This window comes from Homo sapiens, chromosome 9 (assembly GCF_000001405.40).
Source record: "Homo sapiens chromosome 9, GRCh38.p14 Primary Assembly".
Classification (NCBI taxonomy): domain Eukaryota; kingdom Metazoa; phylum Chordata; class Mammalia; order Primates; family Hominidae; genus Homo; species Homo sapiens.
The window spans coordinates 24,528,555-24,555,494 of record NC_000009.12 but is presented as its reverse complement, the minus strand read 5'-3'; the positions used below and the strand labels follow the sequence as shown (position 1 = coordinate 24,555,494).

General features: G+C 35.6%; 1 protein-coding gene and 1 long non-coding RNA gene across 5 annotated transcripts, besides 1 other annotated feature; one reads left to right on the top strand and one right to left on the bottom strand.

Annotated features, from left to right (window-relative positions):
- The first annotated feature begins 9,597 nt into the window (after positions 1-9,597).
- On the top strand, positions 9,598-12,543 carry IZUMO3 (IZUMO family member 3). 3 transcript variants are annotated; one of them, NM_001365008.2, is made up of 7 exons: positions 9,598-10,071; positions 10,209-10,283; positions 10,434-10,523; positions 10,735-10,752; positions 11,214-11,294; positions 11,741-11,831; positions 12,128-12,543. In NM_001365008.2, the coding sequence occupies exons 1-7, from the start codon at positions 9,846-9,848 to the stop codon at positions 12,264-12,266; spliced, it is 720 nt and encodes a 239-aa protein (NP_001351937.1). In that variant the 5' UTR covers positions 9,598-9,845; the 3' UTR covers positions 12,267-12,543. The 3 variants fall into 3 exon arrangements, with proteins under 3 accessions (NP_001351937.1, XP_006716777.1, NP_001258635.1); NM_001271706.1 differs by lacking the exon at positions 10,735-10,752 and having other exon boundaries at positions 9,819-10,071; positions 12,128-12,280; XM_006716714.5 differs by lacking the exons at positions 11,741-11,831; positions 12,128-12,543 and having other exon boundaries at positions 10,735-10,780.
- Positions 9,949-11,148: an enhancer, noted in NCBI's record as "P300/CBP strongly-dependent group 1 enhancer chr9:24544345-24545544 (GRCh37/hg19 assembly coordinates)". NCBI's record gives its function as "activates an origin of replication core promoter dependent on BRD2, BRD4, P300/CBP, MED14 and CDK7 cofactors, with strong dependence on P300/CBP, by STARR-seq in HCT116 cells {active_cell/tissue: HCT116}" and the evidence as "EXISTENCE:reporter gene assay evidence [ECO:0000049][PMID:35650434]".
- LOC105375994 (uncharacterized) lies at positions 11,825-24,214 on the bottom strand. 2 transcript variants are annotated; one of them, XR_929522.1, is made up of 3 exons: positions 24,170-24,214; positions 23,753-23,822; positions 11,825-11,905 (listed from the first exon to the last, which is right to left on the bottom strand). It is a non-coding gene; the product is annotated as an uncharacterized LOC105375994 (long non-coding RNA). The 2 variants fall into 2 exon arrangements; XR_929523.1 differs by lacking the exons at positions 23,753-23,822; positions 24,170-24,214 and adding exons at positions 15,910-16,093; positions 18,174-18,302 and having other exon boundaries at positions 11,830-11,905.
- Between the last annotated feature and the right edge of the window lie 2,726 nt (positions 24,215-26,940).

Here is a 26,940-nt window from a genome sequence, read left to right as displayed (position 1 = left end):
AAGCATAGTACTTACAAAGGTGCTCAAAACCTGTCAGGAGTTTATTAAATTATTAAGATCAAGCTTTCTTAATATTGTCAGTATATTTGTATAAAAATTAGCTTTAAAATGTGGACCAATATTTCTCCATTAATAATTTATGGTTGTATCATAATTTAAGTATAATTCCTTTCCTTTTGACATTGAATACATTAGATAAAATATTGTAGAATTTATTTCTTTGGTGTTAAGACCCACTACACTTTTATTTCTGCCTCAATAGCATTATATGCCTCCACTACTTCCCCGTTAATTAAAACAGAAATTCTAATTTGACCACACTGTTATTTTGGAATTTTCTTCTATTTTGTCTCTGTTCATAAGCTCAGTGGCTAGTTAGCTAGTTATTCCTGTAGAATGGCATATGTGGATTTACAAATTTTACTGGGGCAACACTTAATTTTACTGGAATGTACACTGCAAATTTGACTGGAGTAAATTTTATAATTGGAATCAGTGCACAGGTCAATACCACATTTTAACAACTTAACCTTTACCACTGTAGGCAACACATGCCTTCAACAACTAAACTGCTTTTTCCAAATTATCAACCCCCTAAGTGCCTGTCCACCAGATGTATCTTGAGAGGCAGATTTACATTTTCAAAACTGTCAATTGTTCTCTTAAGATTCCCAGTACACATACTGTCTTTTTCTGTAACCTCAATTTGCTTTTAAGAATTCTCTTGAAGTAATGCCAATTTTAGTATTCTACCTTCAAAAAATAATGTACATTGTTCATGAAACTGTTTATTTTTTGAAGAAGTTATATGCTCACATTAAATGAAAACTCCAGACCTAGGGCAGGTTTCTACTAAAGCTTGATCTGGTAGTTCAACTTACGGTATCAAGACCTAATTTCTCATGACTCTCTGCTGGTCTCACACTAAGTTTCCATATGACTCCACACTATGGACTCAGAGTAAGCTGGCTATCTGCACCTCCCTTAAAAAAAGGGAAGAAAAAACTTAAAGACCCTTTATTTGTATCATCTGCAATTTCTGAGATGTAAATTCTTCTACCATGGTCAGTTTCAAGCTACCACGTGCAGAATTGATTGTCAAATCAGCCGTCATAAACCACAGATAAGGGGAGCCCCAACATGCCTCTGGCAGTGGCGGCTTTAGTGTTCACATTTTCACATAAGGAGGTTTGGGAAAACAGTCAGAGTTTTCTCTGGTAACTCCTACAAAGGAGACAGTGTGGATTTTTGTTTGTTTTCCCGAAAGCTTCCATTAATATTTGCCAGTATCTCATGGGCTGTGATTGCCTTACATACCCATTCTTGATGCAGTTTCTGGAGAAATAGAATGTATTAACTGACTTAAGTCACCCTTTGATGTGTGGACCAACTCAGCCAAAACTTTCCCTATTTGTTTGGAATGGAGCAAAATTCCCATTCAGAAACATAAAGACTGTTAATTTTTTAAAATAAATATATGCATATATATGCATATACATAATCTGTGTGTGCGTGCGTGTGTGTGTGTGTGTGTGTGTGTGTGTGTAACAAAAATGAATGCTTGGGGGAAAAAGCCACCTCAATACATTAAAAAAAGTTTAGATTAAAATATCAGCCTTCCACTTGATTGCATGCCGTAGCAGAGGTATTTCTCTCCCATCTTCTTTCTATTGTTGCTACTTAGCATGGTTTCTGACAAATAATAAGTGCTCAATAAATACTTGTTGGATGTAAGTTAAATGTAGGCACTTACATACTTTTGACTGGATAAAGTCATACATTTTTAACAATAAGATATTGACTTCTCATTATTAAAATAATCCTTGGATTTTGATACATGGGCTAGTATCAGTGTCAATAGTTTTGTAAACAGCTCTGCTACTTAGGGTAATTCACTCCCCTAAAAATAATTCAGTGCCATCATATTAAATTCTAACCTACAGCAGGTTATACTGAAGTAGTGGTATATTTTTCTGGTTTTTACTCTGCGAATTGTTCCATTATCATTGCACTCAACAATGCTGTTGTTGTATAAGAATTTATTTTAGCATTTTAATAGGCATTTTTGCTCACTCTCACATCCAACCGTCTCATGCAGTTGGATTGTGCAGTTGTCAGCCATACATGTTGGAGAAAACAAAGATCAACCAGATAAAGACTCATTTCTGTGTCTATCACAGAGATGCTTCAACATCAGCAGGTCATTATTAAGAGTTTTTCTATCTTTGGGAGATTTGAAATAATAAAGGAGTGTTGCAATCAGACAAGCATCTTCTTTTTATTTCCTCTCCACATAGCATTTTGCAAATGTTAAAATAGCAACGTGATTGTTTTCTCCCTAGTGTCCTGTGTATTTTGTGAACTATGTGGAGATTAATAGCCGCCTACAATAATCTGTTGTCCCTTGCAGAAAAAAACTACGTTGCTGTTTCTGGAAAGAAATAATTGGTACGTAGCTTATAGAGTCAACGTCTGAACTTAATGGAGCATAAAGGGGTGGTATTTCTCATGAAGGAGGCATATTATCCGTTTAAACAGCTTTCAGTCTTGCACATAAATTAGACCTTCGACAAGCTTTGGAAAAAGAGAAACCACACAGTAATGAATTAACATGCTTGCATATTCCTAACAAAGAAACCTTCCCTTTTGAGAAGAAGAGAAAGCTCCCTTGTCTCTGTTACATTTGGAAATCTGAAATTAATTATTGACTTTTCCATATTGTTTGCAGCCGCTTTGTTTGCTCATTTATTGTAAAATGTGTATATGGTAATTGTTTTATGGGAGCTCATAAAACTCAGACTGCAAATGAGATAATGTATGACCAATTTATCGCATCTGCCCTTCAGACATAGAGCTAAACTTGGCAAAAATAAAAAGTGGTCAATGTATACTTTGTCAAGGTCTTAAATCATCACAGAGCAAAAGAATTTGATGAAGTATTTATGGTGAAATTCTTAAATAGCTACAATTGGAAACCATTTTATATTTTTCTAGAAAATATACCTCTTACCACTTAAAAAAACTGATTTGTAGTGTTTTTTAGAATCCATCTTGGTGAATGTGTTTAGGCAAAAAATGACTTGATAATGTGTAGAACTAGACAAATTCCTTTTTCATCTAGTGTATGTAGTACCAGAATTTTCATTTTTCAAAAAAATTATACATATATATAATATCTGCTGTTATACTTTCATTAAATTTAAAAAATAATATAAATCAGAAACTTCTCATGGTATCATTCTCTAAATACTCTAAATATTGTAACAGCTATGTCAGCTAGGAGGACTTCCAATTCAGTAAAGCCCAAACCTTGAGGGAGGACTGCCCAACACTGACTGCGGATTGAAAGAATGGAGATTCCACACCTTTTATAGCTTATTCCAAATATGGAAGTTAATGACATTTCATCAAGATTTTCTTTTCTCCACTGAACTGAAACCTTCCTGCCTCACCGTTGACCTTTTTGGTTTCCTCATTTATGTTAGTAAATAGGTAGATAGCAAATTTTGTTGAGGTCATTTTTCAGAAGACACTGCAAGATATAATGAAATTTGATTAAATTTCCAATGATCTTATAGATAAGCCAACACCTACAGGTGTAGTTTGAAGACAGGTTGTATTACACAGAAAATACTTACTTAGCATATTAGAAAGAATCAAGAGAAAACTATCCTAATTAATACTGCAAAACAAGATGACAAATACAAGTCTGCAAATAAAGGTCCAAATGCAAAATTTTATACTAAAGAAAAGTTGTATAATGTAAAAAAAAGTTAACAATAAAATTAGTTCTTGAAGGGTAGTAACCATTAAGTTCAAATTCCACTAAGAGTTCAACCCCTTGACTCTACACACTGCAAAGAGATCTTTTCCTACAAGGATCAGAATTAAAATTGAATCTAGTGCCATATATTAGTCCACAATGTCTCACCTACTAAGTATAAGTTTATCAGAAATAAGCCAGTTCATTACGTACAGGGAAAGGGTACATTTTTTCCTCTTGGCTACCAAAAACTGAGAATTTGATGGTTTAAAGAAAATAAATAGGGAATCATTCAAAACTATACAAATCCATGCTCTACTGCCAGAGAGCTCTATGGTCTGGTTGAAAATACTTAACCACTCAGTCTCAGTTCTCTCATCTCTAAATGGGTAAAATAGGACCAGCCTTTTAGAATAGAGATTTTTATAAGATCATGCATGTAAGAATTATAAAACACTATTTGACATAGACTTTTTGTTCAATGAAATTACTTCTTATTGGCTACTGGGTTCTCATTATTGGTTTTATTATTGTGTTTTTATTCCTTTTGAAGGTAGGAAAGGAGAAATTCTGCATGTACCTGGTATTTATTTATGGCGAACTAGGTTAACATCTGTATCTTTTATATGTGTCATTAAAGAAATTAGGTACTTTAATCAACAGGCAATTCCTCTATAGAAATAATTGGGAGGAATGGAGAAAAGAATTGGCTATGGGGAGAAAACTAAAAGATGGTTGAATTACAGACTCCATAATTTTTAAATAATTGAATGAAAAGAACACAACATCTTTCTATTTTTTTCAAATATAATTTCATAAGAGTACCTATTCTTGCTACTCTGAGGCAATGATGATGTGACCTTGGATTAACTCTCTTCAGAAAAGAAATTTTGGTGTTTTAGAAAGAACATGGATTTGAAGGCAGACAAATTTGTGTTACAACCCCCAAATCTTTATCCGACTAAGTGTGTGACCTTGGACAAGTCCTTTAATGGCTCCAAACATCAGGCTTGTATTTTATAAAATGGAAATAGTCATGCAAGCTTGTCTTGAGAATAAAATATGACATTTATGTTGCAAGGTCACACATTTTTTCACACTGCTCTCAGATACACGAAAGAGACATAGCTTCCTCATAGTCTATTGGTCTTAGCTTTCTCTGAACATCTTTTCACCTCCTTGGGTAAAAAATAAAAAGCAATATTAGCATAATATAATAAGCCTAATCTCACCAAATAATTTAAACACTTTTTTTAGATAACTCCATTTCTTTTGGAAGAATCATTCTTTCACATTTTTCCTCTTGTTTCTTTCCAAACAGGATGTAAGAATGGGGAGGTAGGAGCTGATGTTACCTCATGGCACTGTGTGGTTGAGGGGTCATTGTCTTGGATGTGTCTCATGTAGAAGAAAGTTTTTCACTTACAGTAGCGTTTGCCTACAACATATCAAAACTGTTATGTTTCATGCCAGCTAGCTTTAACCTCCCGAAATTGTTAAGAAACTATGAAGTCTGAGTAACTCTGGGACCCTAGACCTTCTTGAGCCAGGTTAAAACAAATTCATAATCACCAAAATCCAGGCTTGTTTTAACCAACTACAAGTCCAGTCATGGACTCAATCCTTCCTATCTAGCGTGTGAAAATGTAGTAAATATAACCACCATGGACTCCCTCTCCTTCTAGAGAGGGGTTTAAAAACTCCTGATTTTTTATCCTCTCAGTAAATTGTGCAGTAAATTTCTCCACTAACGTGTGTTTTAGTTTTTGACAGTGTGTTGGTATCTTCCAAGGTGAAGATGTAACTTTACCTAATACCATTCCTAAATCTATTTATAGTATTTGTTGAGAAACTCTGCACATGGGGCACTTTCAACCTGTTTTCTCTCAGTTGCATCAGTAACTGGTGGTCTTTCCTAATGATTTGGCCCAACAAGGCCCTGACGCTTGCTGCAGACTCCACTTCCTTTCCTGACCCTGGTACCAGGTCTGCTCTCCGGCTGTTACACAGGGTCCCTTTACCTGAAGCCTTGGTGATATGCCAGCAAAGGTGCCAGTCAGATCCTGAGTTGAGTTGTACATCCTTCCCCAGCACCCAGTGAAAGCATCTTAAGACATTCCATGCCACATAGGAACTGACATCGTCTCACGAGCCCTTTCTATTAACCTATTCTGTAAAAGCCCTTAAAGGGAACAGGGCAAAAGCTCATGGAATATGAGGATTTAACTCAACATTTCTAGTATAGAGAGAAAATAAGCTGTGACACATATCTTCTGCTTCCGCTACCCTCCTCCCCTCATTCTTCCCACAATCGCCTTGATGTGTTTAGCTTTTTAGTTCATTTCCTGTTAAAGATTCATTGTAAATCTTCTAGTCTACCCTATAATTTACCCACCCTTATGACTATTCCTAAAGGATAAGTGAAATATGAGGAAATAAATTAGCTTAATGACAATGGAATATAAATGGGGAGGTATATAGAAAATTAAACTTATTCTACATGTGGAATGTCTGGTATATAGTAATTATTTCAAATACGATTATTACACTACCTAGAAATATAGCTTATAACATGGCCAAATGTCAAGTAATGGCTTCTTGATCTCAGATTACAGTCAGGAATGTAGTTAACTGCATGTGACTATAAAAGGTATCTAAATTATTTGCCAAACTTTTAAGGAATCCTGTGAAGTGATAGGTAGGGATGGGTAATAGAGCAGAGCTCAATGGCATAAATAATCCATCAGAAAAATGGCTGTAAGAAGCTTGAGGATAAGGATTCATTATTTTTGTTAATAAATCTGAGAAATCAGATCTACCATGGGATGAGGGAGAATTTCTGTAAAAATCTTGCTCTTTATGAAACTTGTTCTTCAAATTTCAAACCTCAGTACCTTATGTGATTTGTAACAAAGGCCAAATGGTACCAAACAACTGATTCTAGCCCTTAAAGGAGGGACTCTCTAATTGCTAGTGTTTTAGTATAAAAACAACTACCCATGAATATCTATGTTACAACTACAAATGAGTCATTATGTAGTTGGTAAAAATATTATGAATGTATGTGCCATTATTTGTCTCATACTATTTTAAACAGAGTTTAGCTAGCTAGTCTGCAGATTTGTGCTGACTATAAATCATAGCTCTTCCTGCCAAGCCAAACCATATACTAACTTAATTATTCTAGGGTTTGGGTGTTAGCCTTTTGCTTTCCAGACACAGGCATTATTATTTTAATTAAGTAATGTGATCATTACATTATTAATCAATTTCCAGACAGCTCTTCTTTCCCAAAGCTCAAATATTTTACATTTACGAAATTCAAAGTGCTATCCCATGATAATTGTGGTTATTTTCTTATGTTATACATTTCACCATCAGTACTTTTAGAGTGTTCCCCCTAAAGGTTCCTGAACACTATTGGATTCTCACTCATCATGATATATTAATTACTGTCTCTAATCTCCTGGATCCAGCCTTTCTATAAAAATTTCTCTAAACTTAGCTAGTACTGCTCTGTTTTCTCATAAACCTCGATGTGTACCTCTGGGTTTACCATTAGCACATTGTGTTATCTTTCTACTGTTTACTCCATGAGACTGAGATTTCCTTCCTTGTTATTCCTTTTACATGGGATATATGTATTCTTTCAATTACAAGTTCTATCTGTCTTAATAAGTGACTTGCCTTTTTCCAGCCTTTCTAAGACTATCCAAAAGCCATTTTTTTTCTCTCATTCTAAAAACCTGATTGAAATTTAAGCTGGAAGGGTGAGACAATGATAAAAATGATAGATGGACCTCTAAGTCTGGGTTAAAGTAATGTGCCATTGAATTATTCAGTAATGTGTCAGAGGATACTCTTTGAACTGTCTAAGTGAAGGTATGGATCATTGACTGGAAAATATCTATAATGCATATCTTTTCTTGAAGCACAGTTTGTTCTCATACCTTGCCACTTCTCTGCCAAATTTTTTAGCCCCTTTAGTTTTCAACTTTACTATCTAGAGTTAATTTAATCCCATTAGCTCACTTGCCTTCAGACCTCAGCATGTGAAAATCTTTTGGGAAATCCTCTAAAAATGAGATCATCTAGCCAAGGGAATAAAAAAAAAATCTGAGCAGAGATATGCTAATTTAAACCATAAATCAAGTAATCTGTATTGGCCTTCATATTTTGACTTATCAAATTCCAAGAGATAATTTTCTGTGTTATCCCAGCAAGTTGTTGTTGAGAGGCAGTAAAATGTATAGGGTTTGGAACCACACAAGACATGAGCTTGAACCCTGAACTCATACTCTAAATTATTCTTCCAGCGAGGATTCTTTTACATCTCTGAGTCTCAATTTCTTACCAGTAACATAGAAATGACAATCTCCAAAGGATTGCGCGCCATGAGAATTTGTGACTACCTGAAATGTTTAGCACAATGTCTGTCACATGGACTTGGTAGACGTATAAGTAATGGTAATTCTTTTAACTTCCCGCACAACATTCCACTGTGATCACCCCATATCTTAAATATAAATTCTACCACTAACCCTGTAGATTGCCAGTGTTTCCTGGTTTCCAGAAGGTCACAGCCATACAGGCAATGTATTAGAAAAGAGGTAACCAGTGCTCTTAAGAGTCTGAAAAGCAACCTCAATTTATTCAAATAACACAGAATATTTTTATTCAAAGGGCCATTGAAAGGAGAACATGTTTATTTGGACATCTTCCTTGTAGGTGGTCTGAGAGGGAAGCCCATGATAACCACTATGTTTTTATATGTTACATACTTTGCCAGTATTTTAGAATGCACTTGTTAAAGGATCTGAACTTTATTGGATTCATCACTCAGTATTCCTCAACTATTGTTTCTAGTATCTGACTCCACACTCTCTATAAGAAGAATGCTATAAAAAGATTAGAAATCACCAGGCACAGTGGCTCATGCCTGTAATCCCAGCACTTTGGGAGGCCGAGGCGGGTGAATCACCTGAGGTCGGGAGTTCAAGACCAGCTTGACCAACATGGAGAAACCTCATCTCTACTAAAAATACAAAATAAGCCAGGCATGATGGCACATGCCTGTAATCCCAGCTACTCAGGAGGCTGATGCAGGAGAAACACTGGAACCCGGGAGCGGAGGTTGAAGTGAGCTGAGATCATGCCATTGCACTCCAGCCCGGGCAACAAGAGTGAAATCCCATCTCGAAAGAAGAAAAGAAAAGAAAAAAAAGAAAAGAAAAGAAAAGAAAAGAAAAGAAAAGAAAAGAAAAGAAAAGAAAAGAAAAGAAAAGGAGAAAGAAAGAAGGAAGGAAGGAAGGAAGGAAGGAAGGAAGGAAGGAAGGAAGGAAGGAAGGAAGGAAGGAAGGAAGGGAAAGAAAAGAGAAGAAAGCAAGAAGAAAAGGAAAAGATTACAAGTCATGTCTAGAAAATCATCCTAGTGATAAATGTAGCCTGAAATATGTTACTGTCTATTAAAATTGCCAAATATTATTCTAGATAAATGCTCACTCCTTTATTCTCAACAATACTGCCACCAGTATTTGTCAACAATACTGCCCCAGTAGGGACCGAGACCCGCAAGAAACTCAATATTCTTGGCTTTTCTTACCTCTAATGTAGAAGCAGAGTTTGAGTTAAGCAATCTCTCAGGTTCTATAGGATCACTTCCATAACCCATCTCTGATGATAAACATCTCTGAAGGTCAGGAGGGGGTTTAAGAGTCTCATGAGGATGCAAGTCAGGGAGAGGGCTAAAGAAACACTTTTTCTGAGACATCTCCCTGCACAGAACTCTGCTTGTGTGAGCTCAAGGCTTCTCTATCTCTTGGTGTTCTACACTCAGAACTCAGGTATCCGCTCCCCAGCTGGCAGTTCCCTCTCCTAGAATGAAGGATAATAGTCAGTAAACAACTAAAGATCATTAAACTAAACAACTAAAGATTGCCCGATAGTGGGATGGAAACAGCGGGAAAAGTGGAGTCAGACTATCCAGAACCAGGCTCTCATTCCCGGATTTTTGAAGGAAAAGGAACTAAGTGAACTAGTTGCCAGGACAACCTGCTGTCGGGGAGCGGGGGTGAAGAAAGAAATGGGTGACCTGTGGTTATTCCTGCTCCTGCCCCTCTCAGCCTTCCATGGAGTCAAAGGCTGTTTAGAATGTGACCCCAAATTTATAGAGGATGTTGGCTCCTTGCTGGGAAATCTGATACCTTCAGAAGTCCCCGGCCGAACTCAGCTGCTTGAACGGCAGATTAAGGAGATGATTCATTTAAGCTTCAAGGTCTCCCACAGTGACAAGAGGCTTCGGGTGTTGGGTGAGGGAAGCTTGAGTTCCTGAGAGTCCAGGGGCTTAAACGGAGAAGGGAGGCAAGGAAGAGAACACCTGGGTCTACATAACTTCCTGCATAGATGTAATTATTCCCCTACATGTACCTTTACTCTCCCTCTCTAGCTGTTCAGCAGGTTGTTAAGTTGAGAACATGGTTGAAGAATGAATTTTATAAACTGGGCAATGAAACATGGAAAGGTGAGGTACTGTTTCAATGTTAAAAGTTTGTATTGCTCAAGCAAGCCTCAGAAAATTTGGCTGGGGAAAACAAAGATAAAAACAGACATAATTAACTTCTGAAGGGAAGAGCTACTTCTATTTTTTGACACCCCTTCCACTCCCTCTTAGGTGTCTTTATCTATCAAGGCAAGCTTCTCGATGTCTGCCAAAACCTGGAATCCAAACTGAAAGAATTACTAAAGAACTTCTCTGAAATTGGTAAGTAAAACTTTCTATATAACAGCACTGAAGTTATATGAAGGGAATAGAAAATGCGGGATGAGGGAAGAAATGCAAGTTCATAATAGAGTTATTTAGAATGGGTGGAGAGGTAACTGGAACTTAAAGGGTAAACAAAGACTACTTGGGTATAAATATGGCAAACTGTAGCTGGTTTTAAACTCATTAGAACTTTCTGATTCTCTTCTAGCTTGTTCTGAAGATTGCAGTGAGTACAGTACATGTGACGCCTTGAGGTTTCAGCCCATATTTTCCCATCTCCTTTGCTCTATATGGCCCTATCTCTCCCACCTGTTACACTGGGAAACCAATTCCTAGAGCTGTGGTTACAAGGGGTAACGTCAACAATACCTGATAACGAAACCTAGCTCATGAAATCTCAGACACCCCACATATTTTTGAGGTACTAGGAGGCCTTCTAACATATGGTTTACAACCCATTGCCCCAGTATAAGCTGAGGCATCCTTTTCCCGCTTTTTCCTGGAGATCAGACTTACAGATTTTGATCCATCAAGAAACTTGATTTCTAGGAGAAGAAGAAATTCACAGCAATGCAAACTTGAGAGTCCTGGGAATGCTTGAGATCAAATCCTCCACACTTGATGTATGACTAAGGAACCCTCGTGCCATGCCCTCTTTCTGATTATCTTTCTTCTCCTCTTTATCAGTTGTGGTTGAAGGTCCCATTCTTGATTGTTGGACGTGTCTTCGCATGACTAACAGGTGCTTCAAAGGAGAATATTGTGGAGGTAACAAAGATCATGGTATGGAATTTTGAAGGGACAGGGATTAAGGAGCAGGGTTGCTCACTGATTTATTCTACATGTATTTGTTGGGTCACTACATGACCTTTAATGGAGGTCATGGTAGTGTTACAAAATGGAGCTAGGGTGTTGGGTGAAATTTTGACCAGTATAAATAATTTGGCACTGAATCAACTGAAAGGCTGAGAAATGAAGAGGCTAGGCTTGGAATGAAGAAATTAGGCTGGGAAGAATTTTGCTGACAGCTATCAGCAACAGTTTTGTAGAACCTAGGAGACTAAAAGTAATAAAGGTCAAAATAAGCATGGAACAGTGATGAAGTAGTAAACAGGGCAAACTGAGGTTAAAAGAGTTTTCTATTCTGAATAAATGTCACAAGCTATTTCTCTTCTCCAAAACTCACTTTCATATTTTCCTGTTTCTCCTTCCAGACGAGGATCCAAGAAAGGCTGAGAATCGAGAGATTGCTCTATTTCTCATATTGCTGGCAACAGCTGTAATACTGGGAAGTGCTGTGTTACTGTGAGTTTCTTCTCTCCAAATAAACACTGGGTCAAATATTCCTTTTGCCAAGAGACTGCCCAAATTCCCTCTTCCTCCAAATGGAAATAAAGCAAAAGAAGTCATTTTAAATTCTGGGATACTGAAAGGAATAAAATGCAAAGTTTGACGGGATAATAGTTGGAACAAAAGGAAATGGAGAAGTATCCAGCAAAAAAAAAAAAAAAAAAAAAAAAAAAAAAAAAACAATGTATAACTGGCTTAAAGAATGGGGCTACTGATATTGAAGTTGGAATTATTTTCTTTTCCTACTCTAGATTCCATTTTTGCATCTTTCATCGGAGGAAAATGAAGGCAATACGAAGGTCGCTAAAGGAATATGTGGAGAAGAAACTTGAAGAATTAATGGGGAAGATAGATGAGAAGGAGGAGAAAGACTTTAGACTCAGAAAATAAACACATCAACATGGACAAGAAGTCTTTCATGATTCTCTTAAGTGTTGACTCTAAGTACAAAACTGGGAGGTAAACCCTTTCTTGGTCATAAAGTCATAGTATTTTAAAACTGAAATAGAACTTAGAGTTTCTCTAATGAAAATGCTTATTGATATCCTGAGACAACGGAAGTAATGGGAGAGCAAATAATTTGGCCAGAGTTGTACAGAAAGTAATGCTGGTATGTTGCAATGCACAGGAAAGATAATATGCTGGATAGTAATAAATAATGCATCGTTAGTAACTCTGATTAATGGCTGTAACTAGGATAACTTTCACATTTCTAAGGCTGTTTTTTATTTTATTGTTTTGTTACTGTTTTCATATTTATCATTAGGTTCAAGGTGGACAATTTTCCTTGATAATACACAACACTTAATCTTCATTATTACACACACACAGAGGCAGAAAAAAAAAGGCCCAAAGTATTAGTCCTGGGTAGCTGAGGTTTGCCCCAGTTATTTCCCCCTAGACCTATGTTCCAAGGCCACGTTGGATACGATTTTTTTTTATTATTTTTGGTTGTTTCCACTGAATACTTTTTTAGTATGTGTAGCACTCTAAATAGTGCTTTACGTGTGTTATCCATCTGAATTCTCACAACAGCCCTATGGATAACATTGCTATTATATCTGCTTTGGGGATGAATAAACAGAAGAATCTCTAACTCAAGGTCACACAGGTAAGTAATCTAAGCTATGACAAACTCCTCTCCTCTAGTGGCTGACCTCTGATCATCCAAACCATTTGACTGGTATTGACAGTTATCAGCATATAGTTATGACACATTAATGGAGAGATAATTGTGGCTTTATTGTCTTTATATACCCTTCATTACACAGTTGGTATGTGGCAAAGCCTGAAATAAAGCTGATGCCCAGTTAACTGTAAAATTCATGACCTTTTCACCCTATGTTGTTTCCTTTTATTCCGGAACTTATTTTAGAAGATAAAAACCATCATTTAGCAGCAGGAAATAGTTTCGAGAGTCCTGCTTCAGGGGGGGGTACAGGTATTTGTAAATCTTTCACACATAGATCTCTGAGTGCTTGCTTACAGTTGCCGTTATAATAATGAGATAAATGAGAATGCATTTGATGAGGACCTGAACCCAAATATCTCTCAAGTGCTAAATTTAAAATTCATGTAAAATTCCCAGATAAGAGTGTTTGTCAGGCATCTACCATTTCCCAGTGATTTAACTTTAATCTCCTCAAATATCTTGTTGAGATATATTAACTTCATTCACAGTCTTAATTATTGCCTTTATATTGTTTTTTTCATTATAACTATATGTAAATGGAGTAACATACGTTCTAGATTTTTAAGATATTTTTGTTCCGTGGATTTTTATTTATATACTTTATTTTATATCTAATTTTATTACTTTGTTATACATATATTTTATTTTATATACTGAAGGTATTAACATATTGGCTTGTCGTTCCTTTTCCCCCCTACTGCTACTCCACACTCCTCACTCCTTTCTAGCAAATATTGGATAACAATTTAGGATAGATCTTTCATGGTTTTTGTTAAAGCCTAAATAATTAAAAGTAAATAGACATACATACATATGAAAACATTTATGGATGATTTTTTTTGCAATTAAAACAATTATAAACACTTTTTCATATGTTGATTTTCATACTTAAGTACTTTGTGGAAATTATTTAAGTGATGTAAGTCTAATTCACTGTTTTGGTAGTTATGTACAACACCATAGTGTGGGGGCACCGTAATTATTCCAATATTCCTCTACTGATAGGAAATCTCTTAATGTTCCTTTTTATTACTATGAATAATGCTGCAGTAAATATCTGTGTACATATATCTTTACTTACTAATAATTTTATTTATAAGAAATAATGTTACAGAATTGGGATATCAAAATGAAAGTTATATGTACTTTGAAATGTTATGACTGTGACAGAAATGATGTAATAATTTGCATGTATATCAGTAACAACCAATTGTTCACGTTTGCCACATCCCCACCAGCAACAGGTAATACAGCTCTTTTAAATTTTGCAGTCTGATAAATATGATAATGAATTTACTTATATTCTCTAGTGTGTCAGCATCTTTACATAGGATTCAGTGCCATTAGAATTAGTCCCACAGTGAGTTACCTATTCATACACTCTGCTAATTTTAATCTGAAAAATTTTTGTCAATTTAAAAGAGGTTCTTCCATAACATAAATATTAACTCTAGCATCTCTTTTGCAGATGTATTTTTCCCCAAAGCTATCACTGGACAGTTGAATATTTAAAGCGTTATTTTATCTATCTATACATGTAACCACTCCAGGTCTTTTTACCCATATTACATAAAATAAAAACCCATTTATTTTCACACATTCACTCTATAACCAACTTGTTAAACTTGTTTTTAAATTTTATTTTAAAGTCTCTTGCATTTTTTAGATATTCAGTCATATTTCTATCCAAAACAAATGTTTTCTATTTTCTTTTCTATGAGTACCAATCATTTTACTTTTTTAATTATAGTGTATTTGTAAGAATCTGAAGTCAGTCCTGAATAATAACATAGTTATTATTTTAAAAAGAATGAGAAGTCAATCATTATATAACTGTAAGTCTATAAACAGCAAATGCAGAGAAAGTTAAAACATTAACTCTTAAGCAAACTGTAAATTGTTATATTGGGATTATTTCATAAAACCTAAAATTATATTAGAACACCCATTATGGTTACTTTGAGGTTAAAAAATTCTAGTCCTATGGAGAAGAATTTTAATGTTCAAGTTTCTTTATATAATATCACTGCCTTGAGATGGTTGAATATTAAAACCCTTCATGAACTGGTTATATTTTATAATAAATTAGTTCAGTCCTTATCAGTAATATCATTTCTTTGTCTTCTTCATCTCCGAATATACAAAAGATTTTCCAGGAACCAGAAAAAGAAATACCTTAGAAAATAAGAAAGTACCTAGGAAACTGTCACAAGGAAGAAAAATGTTCTCTCCCTCAATCTTGCTTAGCTCTGTTAATAATCTCGTTATCTCTTTTCGTGACATGCGATTTTATGTAAAAGAACAGAAAGAGAAGCAAAATTGCCAAAATAAAACAAACCATATTATGATTAAATATTGACTATAAAATCAAACAAGTTTTGTGTCCAAAAATTAAGGGGAAATAATTACATGCCTTAAGAAAAAGGAAACTAAAAGTGGATGAAGGATAAGTAAGGGAGTTTAGACAAAAGCAGTAGATGCCAAGGTCCTCGTCAAACATACATGTACATGCATACATATGATACCTTTATTCTTTGTTATGAAATATTGGAGTGTGACTCTTTAGGGATGAAAATACAATATATGACATCCATAATTTCAAGAAGAAAAGGAGGGGATAAATCCTACTGATTCAATAAAAACAAGAAAGAGGAAACAAATCAACAGAGCAAAATGTAACACAATAAGCATAACAAACGTAAACGAAGTAAATATATTAATCAGAAGATCAACTATTAGATTGGATATTTTAAAATCTAATCATAGGCTACTTGTAAGATAGCAACCTAAAATAACATGAGAAGCTAAATGTGAAATGAAAGAATACCTAGCAAAACTTACCCAAAATAAAGCAGGTGTTTATTGATATTAGCCAGAAGAGAATTTAAGCCAAAGAACATTAACAAGAATAATGTGATAATATAATATGAAATCATATGAGCCTAACAATATAGTCTTCTGATTTTAAAAAAGGAAAAAGATTTTCACATTCATGATGGGAAAGTGTAGTCCTCTCATTTAGAATCTGATAAATCGAAAGAAAAAATGTTAATAAGACTATAATTCATAGAACACAATGAACAACTTTAAATGACATGATGCATTAAACCCCACAATCAACTAGTAAATAGATTTTTCTTCTTTCTAGTGAAGAAGGAACATATATAAAAATTAACAACATGTATGGCTTGAAAGACACCAGCTGGTTTTCTCCTAACTACATCCCTTTCCTTTTGGACACATGGTTAAACTACATTTCTCAGTCATCCCTACTGTTCGATGGGCTATGAAGCTGAATTCTGGCCAATGGACTGTGGGTAAAAGTGTATTAAACATTTTCAGGAGCATCTAAATTTAAGGGACAATCCTCCAGCCTCTTTCTTCCCTGATTAGTGGTAGGATGCCAATATACAGCAATATCTTAGAATCCTGAAGATGCCTCTTAGTTGGAGCATGTGTTTTAGATTTCATGAGTGAAAAATATTTATTTGATTAAGCTTCTGATATTTTTAGAACTAGCATTAACTGATCTAATACGTAGGCCAAAAAGGAAATTTTAACAAATTCCAAAGAACTCATAAAGAACAATCATTCAGACCATGAGCAACAAAATTAAAACCACAAAGGATATTCCCTTATTATATATATTGGAAACTGAAAAATTCTATCTCTAAATAATTCCTGAATTAAAAATGAATCTATAAAGCAAATTATAAAACACTTACAGCTAAATAACAATAAAAATATTGCCTATCGAATCTTGTGAAATGTGCTAACTATGCGTTTAACAATATAACATTCTAATCATATATAGCAAAAAGATTTTAAAATACATACATATTTATGTATTTATATATATATATGTATATGTATTGAACAGGGTGTTTAAATTAAGCAGATAGAACGGCTGGGTGCAATGGCTCACGTCTATAATCCCAGCACTTTGGGAGGCCGAGGTGGGTGAATCACTTGTGGTCAGGAGTTCAAGACCAGCCTGACCAACATGGTGAAAACCTGTCTCTACTAAAAATACAAAATTAGTTGGGGGTGGTGGTGCACACCTGTAACCCCAGCTACCTGGGACACTGAGGCAGGAGAATCGCTTGAACCCAGGCAGAGGAGGTTGCAGTGAGCCGAGGTTGCACCATTGCACTCCAGCCTGGGCAACAAGAGCAAAACTCCGACAAAAAAAAAGTAATAATAATTAAGCAGGTAGAAAAAGAACAAACTAAACTCAAAGCATGTAAAAAAGGGAACATTAGACTATATCAAAATGAAATGTTAAGCATAAAAAGGTAACTAACACTGAATGCTAATAAAAAAGTTTTCATCCACACTGAACAAAATTTTTAAAATAAAAGATAATTTTTATAAAACAGAAATTTTTAAGTAGCAAAACTTAAGATAGATTTGTTTTTATATCTTAACAGACTCTTTTAAGCTAAATTGCAAAAATATTTAAAACTTGGGTGAAAGGGCTATTTAAAATAAAAGTAAAAATTACCAATATCAACATTGTAAGATAAAAGAACCCCCCCACCAAAAAAATGTCAATATTCTTTAAATAAATTTTAAAATGAGTCAGGCATAGTGGCTTACACCTGCAGTCCTAGCACTTTGGGAGACTGAGATGGGAGGATTGCTTGAGCTCAGGAATTCAAGACAAGCCCAGGCAACATAGTGAGAACCCATATCTACAAAAATAATAATAAAAATAAAAATTTGGCCGGGCGCGGTGGCTCACGCCTGTAATCCCAGCACTTTGGGAGGCCGAGGCGGGCGGATCACGAGGTCAGGAGATCGAGACCATCCCGGCTAAAACGGTGAAACCCCGTCTCTACTAAAAATACAAAAAATTAGCCGGGCGTAGTGGCGGGCGCCTGTAGTCCCAGCTACTTGGGAGGCTGAGGCAGGAGAATGGCGTGAACCCGGGAGGCGGAGCTTGCAGTGAGCCGAGATCCCGCCACTGCACTCCAGCCTGGGCGACAGAGTGAGACTCCGTCTCAAAAAAAAAAAAATTTAAAAATTGTATTAACACAATTGAAAACAAATGCCATGCTTAGAGAAAAGCCCAGAGTAAAATAAAATATGTTGACTGATTTTACCTTGATGGTGGAACTATGGTTTTCTTCCAGTTTAACTCTTTTTATTTGGTTGTGTCCTTCAGTAGGAAATACAGGAGGACAAATAAGTTTCACAGAAAAGGTTCAAGTTCAGTTTTGAAATATTAAGTATGAATCCTGCTGGGATATTTAAAAAGATATGCCTTCAGCGTTTGGACTTACATACATGAACATAGCTAGTGAAACTCATTTCAAAGGCACTAGAACACAATAAATAGCAAAGCTGAAAATATGACTGAGGCCACCTAGCTAGAGGCTGGTGAAGAAGAGATACAGACCAAGGACAGAATACTAAAGATCATTACATCATGGTAAAATCAAAATAAAACTCTAAGTGAACTGTAAGGCAAAGCGAGCAAGATAATAACCATTAAGATACTTATAATATTAAGATAACCCAAAATCCAAGCTGTTCTATGCAAACTTATTCCTTTCAATGACTTTGAGATGATGCTGACTTTGAGTGAGAATAATGAAGAATTCCAATCAGCTTTGGACTATGTGGTTTTTTAAAATTTTTCATTTCCATAAGTTTGGGGGAAACAGTTGGTATTTGGTTACATTAGTAAGTTCTTCAGTGGTGATTTGTCAGGTTTTGGTGTACCCATCACCCAAGCAGAATAAACTAAACCCAATTTGTAGTCTTTTATCCCTCACCCCCCTCCCACTCTTTACCTCAAGTCCCCAAAGTCCATTGTATCATTAGTATGCCTTTGCATCTTCATAGTTTAGCTCCCACTTATAAGTGGGAACATACAATGTTTGGTTTTTCCATTCCTGAGTTACTTCACTTAGAATAATAATCTCAAGTTCCATCCAAGTTGTTATGAATGCCATTAATTTATTCCTTTTAATGGCTGAGCAGTGTTCCTTCATATATATATCACATTTTCTTTATCCACTCTGATGGAGATTTGTGCTGGTTTCATATTTTTGCAATTGTGAATTGTGCTGCTATAAATATGCATGTACAAAGTATCTTTTTCATATAATGACTTCTTTTCCTCTGGGTAGACACCCAGTAGTGGGATTCCTGGATCAAATTGTAGTTCTACTTTTAGTTATTTAAGGAATCTTCGCACTGTTTTCCATAGTGGTTGTATTAGTTTACATTCGCACCAGCAGTGTAGAAGTGTTCCCTTTACACCACATCCATGCCAGCAGGATATGATGCTATACTTAGAAAACCCAAAAGACTCCTCCAAAAAGCTTTAGAACTGATAAATGAATTCAGCCAAGTTTCAGTATGGAAAATTAATGTACACAAGTCAGTATCTCTGCTATACACCAACAGCGACCAACCTGAGAATCAAATCAAGAACTCAACCCCTTTTACAATAGCTGCCAAAATTTAAAAATAAAATACTTTTGGAATATACCAAACCAGGGAGGTGAAAGACCTCTACCAGGAAAACTACAAAACACTGCTGAAGGAAATCATAGACAACAAAAACACATGGAAATATATCCCATGCTCATGGATGGGTAGAATATTGTGAAAATGACCATATTGCCAAAAGCAATCACAAATTCAAGGCAATTCTCATCCAAATACCACCATCATTCTTTAAAGAACTAGACAAAGCAATCCTACAATTAATATGGAACCCCCAAAGAAGAGCCTGCATAGTCAAAGCAAGACTAAGCAAAAACAACAAATCTGGAGGCATCACATTACCTGACTTCAAACTATACTATAAGGGCACAGTCACCAAAACAGCATGGGACTGATATAAAAGTAGGCACATAGACCAATGGGACAGAAGAGAGAACCCAGAACTGATCTTTGACAAAGCAAACAAAAACAAAGTGGAGAAAGTACACCCTATTCAACAAATGGTGCTGGGATAATTGGCAGGCCACAGGTAGGAGAAAGAAACTGGATCCTCTTCTCTCTGCTTATACAAAAGTCAATTCAAAATGGATCAAGAACTTAAATCTAAGACCTGAAACTATAAAAATTCCAGAGGTTAACATCAGAAAAACCCTTCCAGACATTGGCTTAGGCAATGACTTCATGACCAAGAATCCAAAATCAAATACAACAAAAGCAAAGATAAATAGGTGGGACTTAATTAAACTAAAGAGCTTCTGCAGAGCTAAAGTAACAGTCAGCAGAATAAACCAACGATCCACAGAGTGGGAGAAATTATTCACAATCTATACGTCCAACAAAGGACTAATATCCACAATCTAGAAGGAACTCAAACAAATTAGAAAGAAAAAAACCAAATAATCCCACCAAAAAGTGGGCTAGGGACATGGATAGACAATTATTACAAGAAGACATACAAATGGTCAACAAACATGAAAAAATGTCCAACATCACTAATGATCAGTGAAATGCAAATCAAAACTACAATGCAATACCAACTTACTCCTGCAAGAATGGCCATAATCAAAAACTCAAAAAATAATGGACTCTTTTTTTCAAATGGGTGCTCTTCTATCTACACAATCTACTGCAATTGCTTCATCATATAAATCCAGAATCTGGACTTTATTATTTCAAAAATCACCAGAATTAGAAGAAGCCTTTTATGTTTATGTGCTTATCATACAATAAAGTCAAGATGATCTAATTAAACTATGTGTTCATTCACTAGGAAAGGTCTTGTGGTACTTCTGTTTTTTAAATGTAAACATGATACAAAATTAATTGCTTACAATTCTAATTTAAGCTTGAGCTAACAGTTAACATAACAAAGCATGGCTATGTAAAAACATCCTTCCAACAAGCAAATGCTCAAGCAAAACCTCATTTATATCAATAAATAATACAAATCATTTTATTCTGAAACAGCTATATTTAACACATACTCCAATGTCCTGATGTCAGTCCTTCATGAAGCTTAGTTCCAAGGTTTCTTGAAGAGCTACAAATCATTAGGGAAAGATATTTATCTGATAACATTCAACCCTAGCACTGATGGTATAGTCTCTGAGATCCTATTTTTCTTGGGGCTACTTTATTAACAATCAGTATTTTCCATGTATATATGTGTATATGTGTGTGTGTGTGTGTGTGTGTGTGTGTGTGTGTGTGTGTGTGTCTGTAGGAGGCAGCAGACAGAGATGAGGTTTCACTTAGCTTTTATTGGGTGATAACATAATAATTTATTTTATCTAAAGATAACATTAAAACATGATAGCAATTAAGGTACTTATGTTATTAGATAAAATATCAACACATAAAGTATCAGATAAAATATAAAAATAAAAGTGAATAGTATCAAACAACAGGTGAATTAATACTGGAAGCTTCTTAATTTCCATTTACTAATATTCTTTCTAAACTTGCTCCCTTACATTTTGACTCAAAAGAAGGTTTCACCTTCTTCCATCTTAGATTAATGCTTCCTGTTTTGTTTGTTTGTTTGTTTTTAGACGGAGTCTCGCTCTGTCGCCCAGGCTGGAGTGCAGTGGCGAGGTCTCAGCTCACTGCAACCTCCACCCCCGGGGTTCAAGCGATTCTCCTGCTTCATCCTCCTGAATAGCTGGGAATACAAGCGCCTGCCACCACGCCCAGCTAATTTTTTGTGTTTTTAGTAGAGACCGGGTTTTACCATGTTGGCCAGGCTGGTCTCAAACTCCTAACCTCGTGATCCGCCTCTTCCTCCCAAAGTGCTGGGATTACAAGCGTGAGCCACCGCGCCCTGCCTCCTTACATGTTTTTTACATCCTGAACTGCAGTCACTTCTAGAGCATTCCTTCATCATTTATCTCCAATCATTACCCCCTTTGCTCGATCCTAGGTCCTTATTATTATTATCTGTTACTAGGAATTCAAGCCTCTTTATCCTGTACCCAGCCCTGTATGACTAACTTCGTACAGGAGCACTGTATTTCTCTTGACTGTTTCTATATTTCTGTTCTCCCCTTAAATCACCCCAATCTGCACTCTTCTCCTAACCATCATATGGAGATTTCTCTCTCCAAGGCTGACAGTGATCTCTTTGTTGTTATATTCAGAGTTCTCTTCATTCCTCAAGCTACTTGTCAGCTATAAGATTTGCCAGAGTGCTAATGGTTCCTTCTTAAAATACCCCTTGTGGTACACTAGGCACATGTTCTTACTTTTGTTCTTGTTTTTTAGATTTTTCTATGTTTAAACCATGTTTTAGTTGATTTTTTGAGCTCTTCCTCTTCTTCTGCATACTTATTAGATACTGCAATAAGAGAACTCATTTCAAACCTTTTCCTGCGTTTTACCTGGAGCAATCACACCCACTGGTGTGATTTCCAAGATCACATAATAATAATATCTCCAAATTCTTAGGCTTCTGTTTGCACCCCCTTCTCAAGTCCTCAGTCCTTATTTCTGAATACCTACTGGACATATCCATCCAGAAAGACAATGCTAATTTAAAAATTGGCATGCCTAACACTGAACTTACCTTAAACCATTTGATTCTATATAATTTATCTTAATTGAGGATTCTTGAAGGATTTTTAGTTATCTTCCCAAGAATCTCTCAAAATTATTTTAAGCCACTTTTGTACAGATAAGAAAACTGAGGCTTGTCACATTTAAGTAACTCCTTCCAAGCCCCATAATTCACAAGTTGTAGAGGCAGGATTCAAACCCCAAATCTTAACCTTTTCACTAGCTAGCAGAGGTCTCATGGATAATATAAATAATCCAGAAGGTAGAAATCTCAGTATTTTCTAGAGTCCTCTCTCTCCTTCATCTGTCCTAGCCAGTCACTCTTCAATTAGCATTGATTTTTCACTCCTAAAAATCTCTTGAATCTCCCCAGCTACTGTTAAATTTGAGGTCCTTCATTCTTCTCTCATGGCTACTACAATGGTCTCCTACTCAGTTTCCCTGAGCCCAGCCTATCTAGGAGCCAAATTCTTCGTTCCTTTTGCACTCAGAAATATCAATCTTAAATCACAAATCAATGTCAAATCCTTGATTAAAATACTCCATTGCCTCTTCTACTTCAAAAAGAGAAGTGTAAACTCTTTCATACAACATTTCACATGTTTTATATTTTACCAACTTGCTTTACATATAATTTCACCTTTGGTCAATTGCCTTCCCAAACCTTAATCTCTACTTAGAGTTTGCCAAACATATTAGGCATTTTTTTTTTTATCTTACAGACAATACTTGCTATATTCTTCCTTGTCTTGATTGCCTGGTAATCTTTGTCAGCCTTCAACATTATTGTCTTTCAAAACTCACATTTAAAGTAATCTCTTTTCATAAGGTCTTTTCTGAGATGGCTAGAATTGATCACCCACAACCTTTGGAATCCACTACAATTCATATGCTTTTGTAGAGGCTTTTTAATAAATGACTGTGATTGGTTTTCAAGTCTCTTTCCTAGACATGAAATTCTCAGGGATAGGGACTATGCTATGCTTATCTTTATAGTCATAGCATCTAGCAATGTATCAGGGAACATTTCATCGCTTAAATGTCACCTACTCAAGGAAGATTTTTCCTGAATCTTCATATTATGCTAGCACTTCCAATTACACTGTGTCATTGCTTACTTTTCTCGCTCCGTAGGAATTAAGGAATATTATATAACTATAAATTAATGTCTTACTTCAAGAGGTCAGAAATCACATCTGCTGTTTGTTCATAGATGTACCTATCCCCAGAGCTCGTTAAAATACCTGGCACAGAAAAGATGAACATTGGATGAATAAAATTATGAAAATACAAATAAAATATTGATGAATTCTATCACTTGAAATTGAGTATAACCCAAATATTCTTAATAGCATCGTATATATCTTGTCTGCCACATTGTCCACTGTAGCAGTCCCACAGTAGACAATGTGGTGGTATTTCATTTTATGTCCTTTATTTAAAGGATGTTAAAAATCCTTTGCAGCTTGATGGCCAACATTGCCATGAAATAAAGGCTATATGTACCAAATTCGCAAATCAAGCACACAGATTTCTAGTGTTTAACCTAGTTCAGGGGCGCGCAAATGAAGTTTTCAGCACCTCCACTTACTTCTCAAGGTAGCTTGGTTGACTCTTCCCCTTCAGCCTGCCTTCCTGCCAAATGGACCAGAAACTCAAAGAAGCTGAGAACTTCCTAGGAGTTCTAAGAACTTTTGGCATTGATCTACACCTGGAGATTAACTCGGAGATAAAGAATCTGCAGCATATTCCCCAAAGTTACCCTTATTATAGGGATAGGGTGGGAGTTGGGTAAGGGACAGTAGAGACGTTGGTATTTATGTAACAAATTATCTCAAAATCAATAAACACAGAAGATTCTGGAACAGGACACCAAGCCATTGTTTTTCCTAACTTCAGGATGCATGTTTTTATTGTTCAACTGTCCTAAAAATAGTTGAATATCAAGACTGAGTGAAAGGACAATAGAGAGAATGAAAATCAGAGAGAATGGAGGCAACTATCTGAAGAATGGACGAAGGACACTTTGCACTCCACTTCATCTCAAGTGGTCTGCCAAACTTTAGGTCCTCAGGTTTGCATTCCCAGATACAGCACTGCTAAATTGTCTGTGTAGTTTCACACTTGGGTGTGCATCTTCCTCTTAAAGAGGAAACACAAACTCTCGCCAATCAAAGGTCAACATGGGCAGGTAGGCATGTTTGTCTAGCATTTGCTTAGGATGGTTATAAGGCTTTCTATGAGGGATTACTCTTGAAACATTTAAAGCCTTTACCTAATGAGGCTTCATGAATCTGCTGATGAGGTGACCCTTCATAATTTCTGCTGAAAGTACTAATAAGCACAGGCTCTTCAAGATTCAGAATTCTTCATTCTTCTTTCATCTTCACTCTCTCCATTGTACTAATAATGTCAGAAAATGTTCAACAAGATTTTCTAGTGAATAAAGAACTTCCTGGCTTTATGTTTGGTGCTTTGGAAATCTATATAAAGAGTACTTTCAAGCCAACAAGACATCATTTATTAAGTTGTTGTTCTACAACAGATAACCTCAGTCTGGGCTATGAAAACAGCCCAAAGAGAGTTCAAAGAAAAGGGTGAAAAGTATTAAATACAGAGTTTGTGATGCAGTGCTTATTAAGGCATACCAAACCCTGGCTAAAAACCAACAATGTTTCCTTGAAGAAAATGCAAGGAAAAATTACAGTCATTATCTCTGGGTGGTATGGGTTACAAGTGATTATTGTTTTCCTCTTTTTGCTTGTTAGTATTCTGATTTCTCTGCAGTGAGCTTGTATTTCACTTATGTAGAGAGAAAGGCTATTTTAATTCAACATGAAGGCAATAAGACTTCCATGGCAAACACAATGTAATACAATTTGTTCCAAACTGTCCAAAGGATTAATCTAATCCAGTTCTTAGCTATGGACTAGATTTGATATAACAAAGTGCCCCAAGTTAATGTTCCATTAGATTTCTACCCTGGGAAATGAAATTTGTTTTAACATTCTTTTTTCTGTCCTATAATTCTAGGAAATCACTTTTGTTTTAAAGGTTATTATGGTAAAATCCTTTATATGTCTCCATGTAAGGCATTTAATACCATATTGTAGGCTGAAAGAAGACTGAAATACAGTAATACTTTTAAAAAATAATTAAATTTGTTATTATTGGCCAGACTGAGTGGCTCAGGCCTATAATCCCAGAACTCTGGGCAGGCTGAGGTAGGAAGATTACTTAAGCCCAGCAGTTTGAGACAAATTTGGGCAGCACAGCAAGACTCCATCTCTATATATTAAAAAATGAATAAAAAATTTAAATTATAAAAATAATTGTGTTATTATTAAAGCAACATAATAATGTATTTGTCTGTCATTGATCATAAGACACTAAATGCTAAAAAGTCACGTTCTTGATCCTGAGCCCTATGACAGTTCAGGAATTACAAGCTACTGACCTGCCAACAGAGCAAGGAGCTGCTTCTCTTTTGGTCCATTTGCTACCCACTCTCACTCTGCTGGCACTAGTTCCTCATTCTGGTCACTATATCCCATCTGTAACCTTGTTACCTCAAATATATTTCCATGTATTTTCCTCTTCTGTTTCCATAGAAATTTAACTTAAACCACATATATAATTTTAAACGTTCTAGTAGCTGTATTAAGAAAATAAAAAGAAACAGGTAAAACTAATTTTAATATATTTTAACCCAAATATCCAAACCATTTCAACATCCAATCTATGTAAAATGACTTAGGAGTTATTTTGTTTATTTATTTTAGCACTAAGTCTTCAAAATCTGCTTTGGGCTTTATACTTTCAGCACATCTCAATTTGAAATTTTTTGGCTGCAAATACTCAATCTGTATTTAGATAACATAAAATGTATTCCTGAAAAAGTAAATCCAAAGTTGTTCCAAATATACTTAAAAGTTTTTCAAACACTGAATCCAGTGATGGTTTTTAAATTTACCTTAATTAACGTTAAATAAAATTTAAAATTTAGTTTGTCACATTAACTATAGTCCAAGTGATCTACACCCACATGTGGCTAGTGGCTACTGTATTGGACAGCAGAGGTTTAGAATTCACAGGCTAGTTTCTGCTTCAGACCTGCATATGCAGGATACTTATTTTTAACAGGAATTAACCTTCAGATCTGGCCCCCACATACAAGCCCAGCAGTGGCTCTTACAGACTTACAGACGACTTCTACGAAGGACATATATGTGAGAATAACCACATCCAACACATATGCATGTGAAAAACGTTTCAGAATACATTCCCTTCTGACAGTGATTCCTGGTATATAATGGCTCCATTTCTAGGGGAACAACAATTGTACTTTGAATTTATATGGAA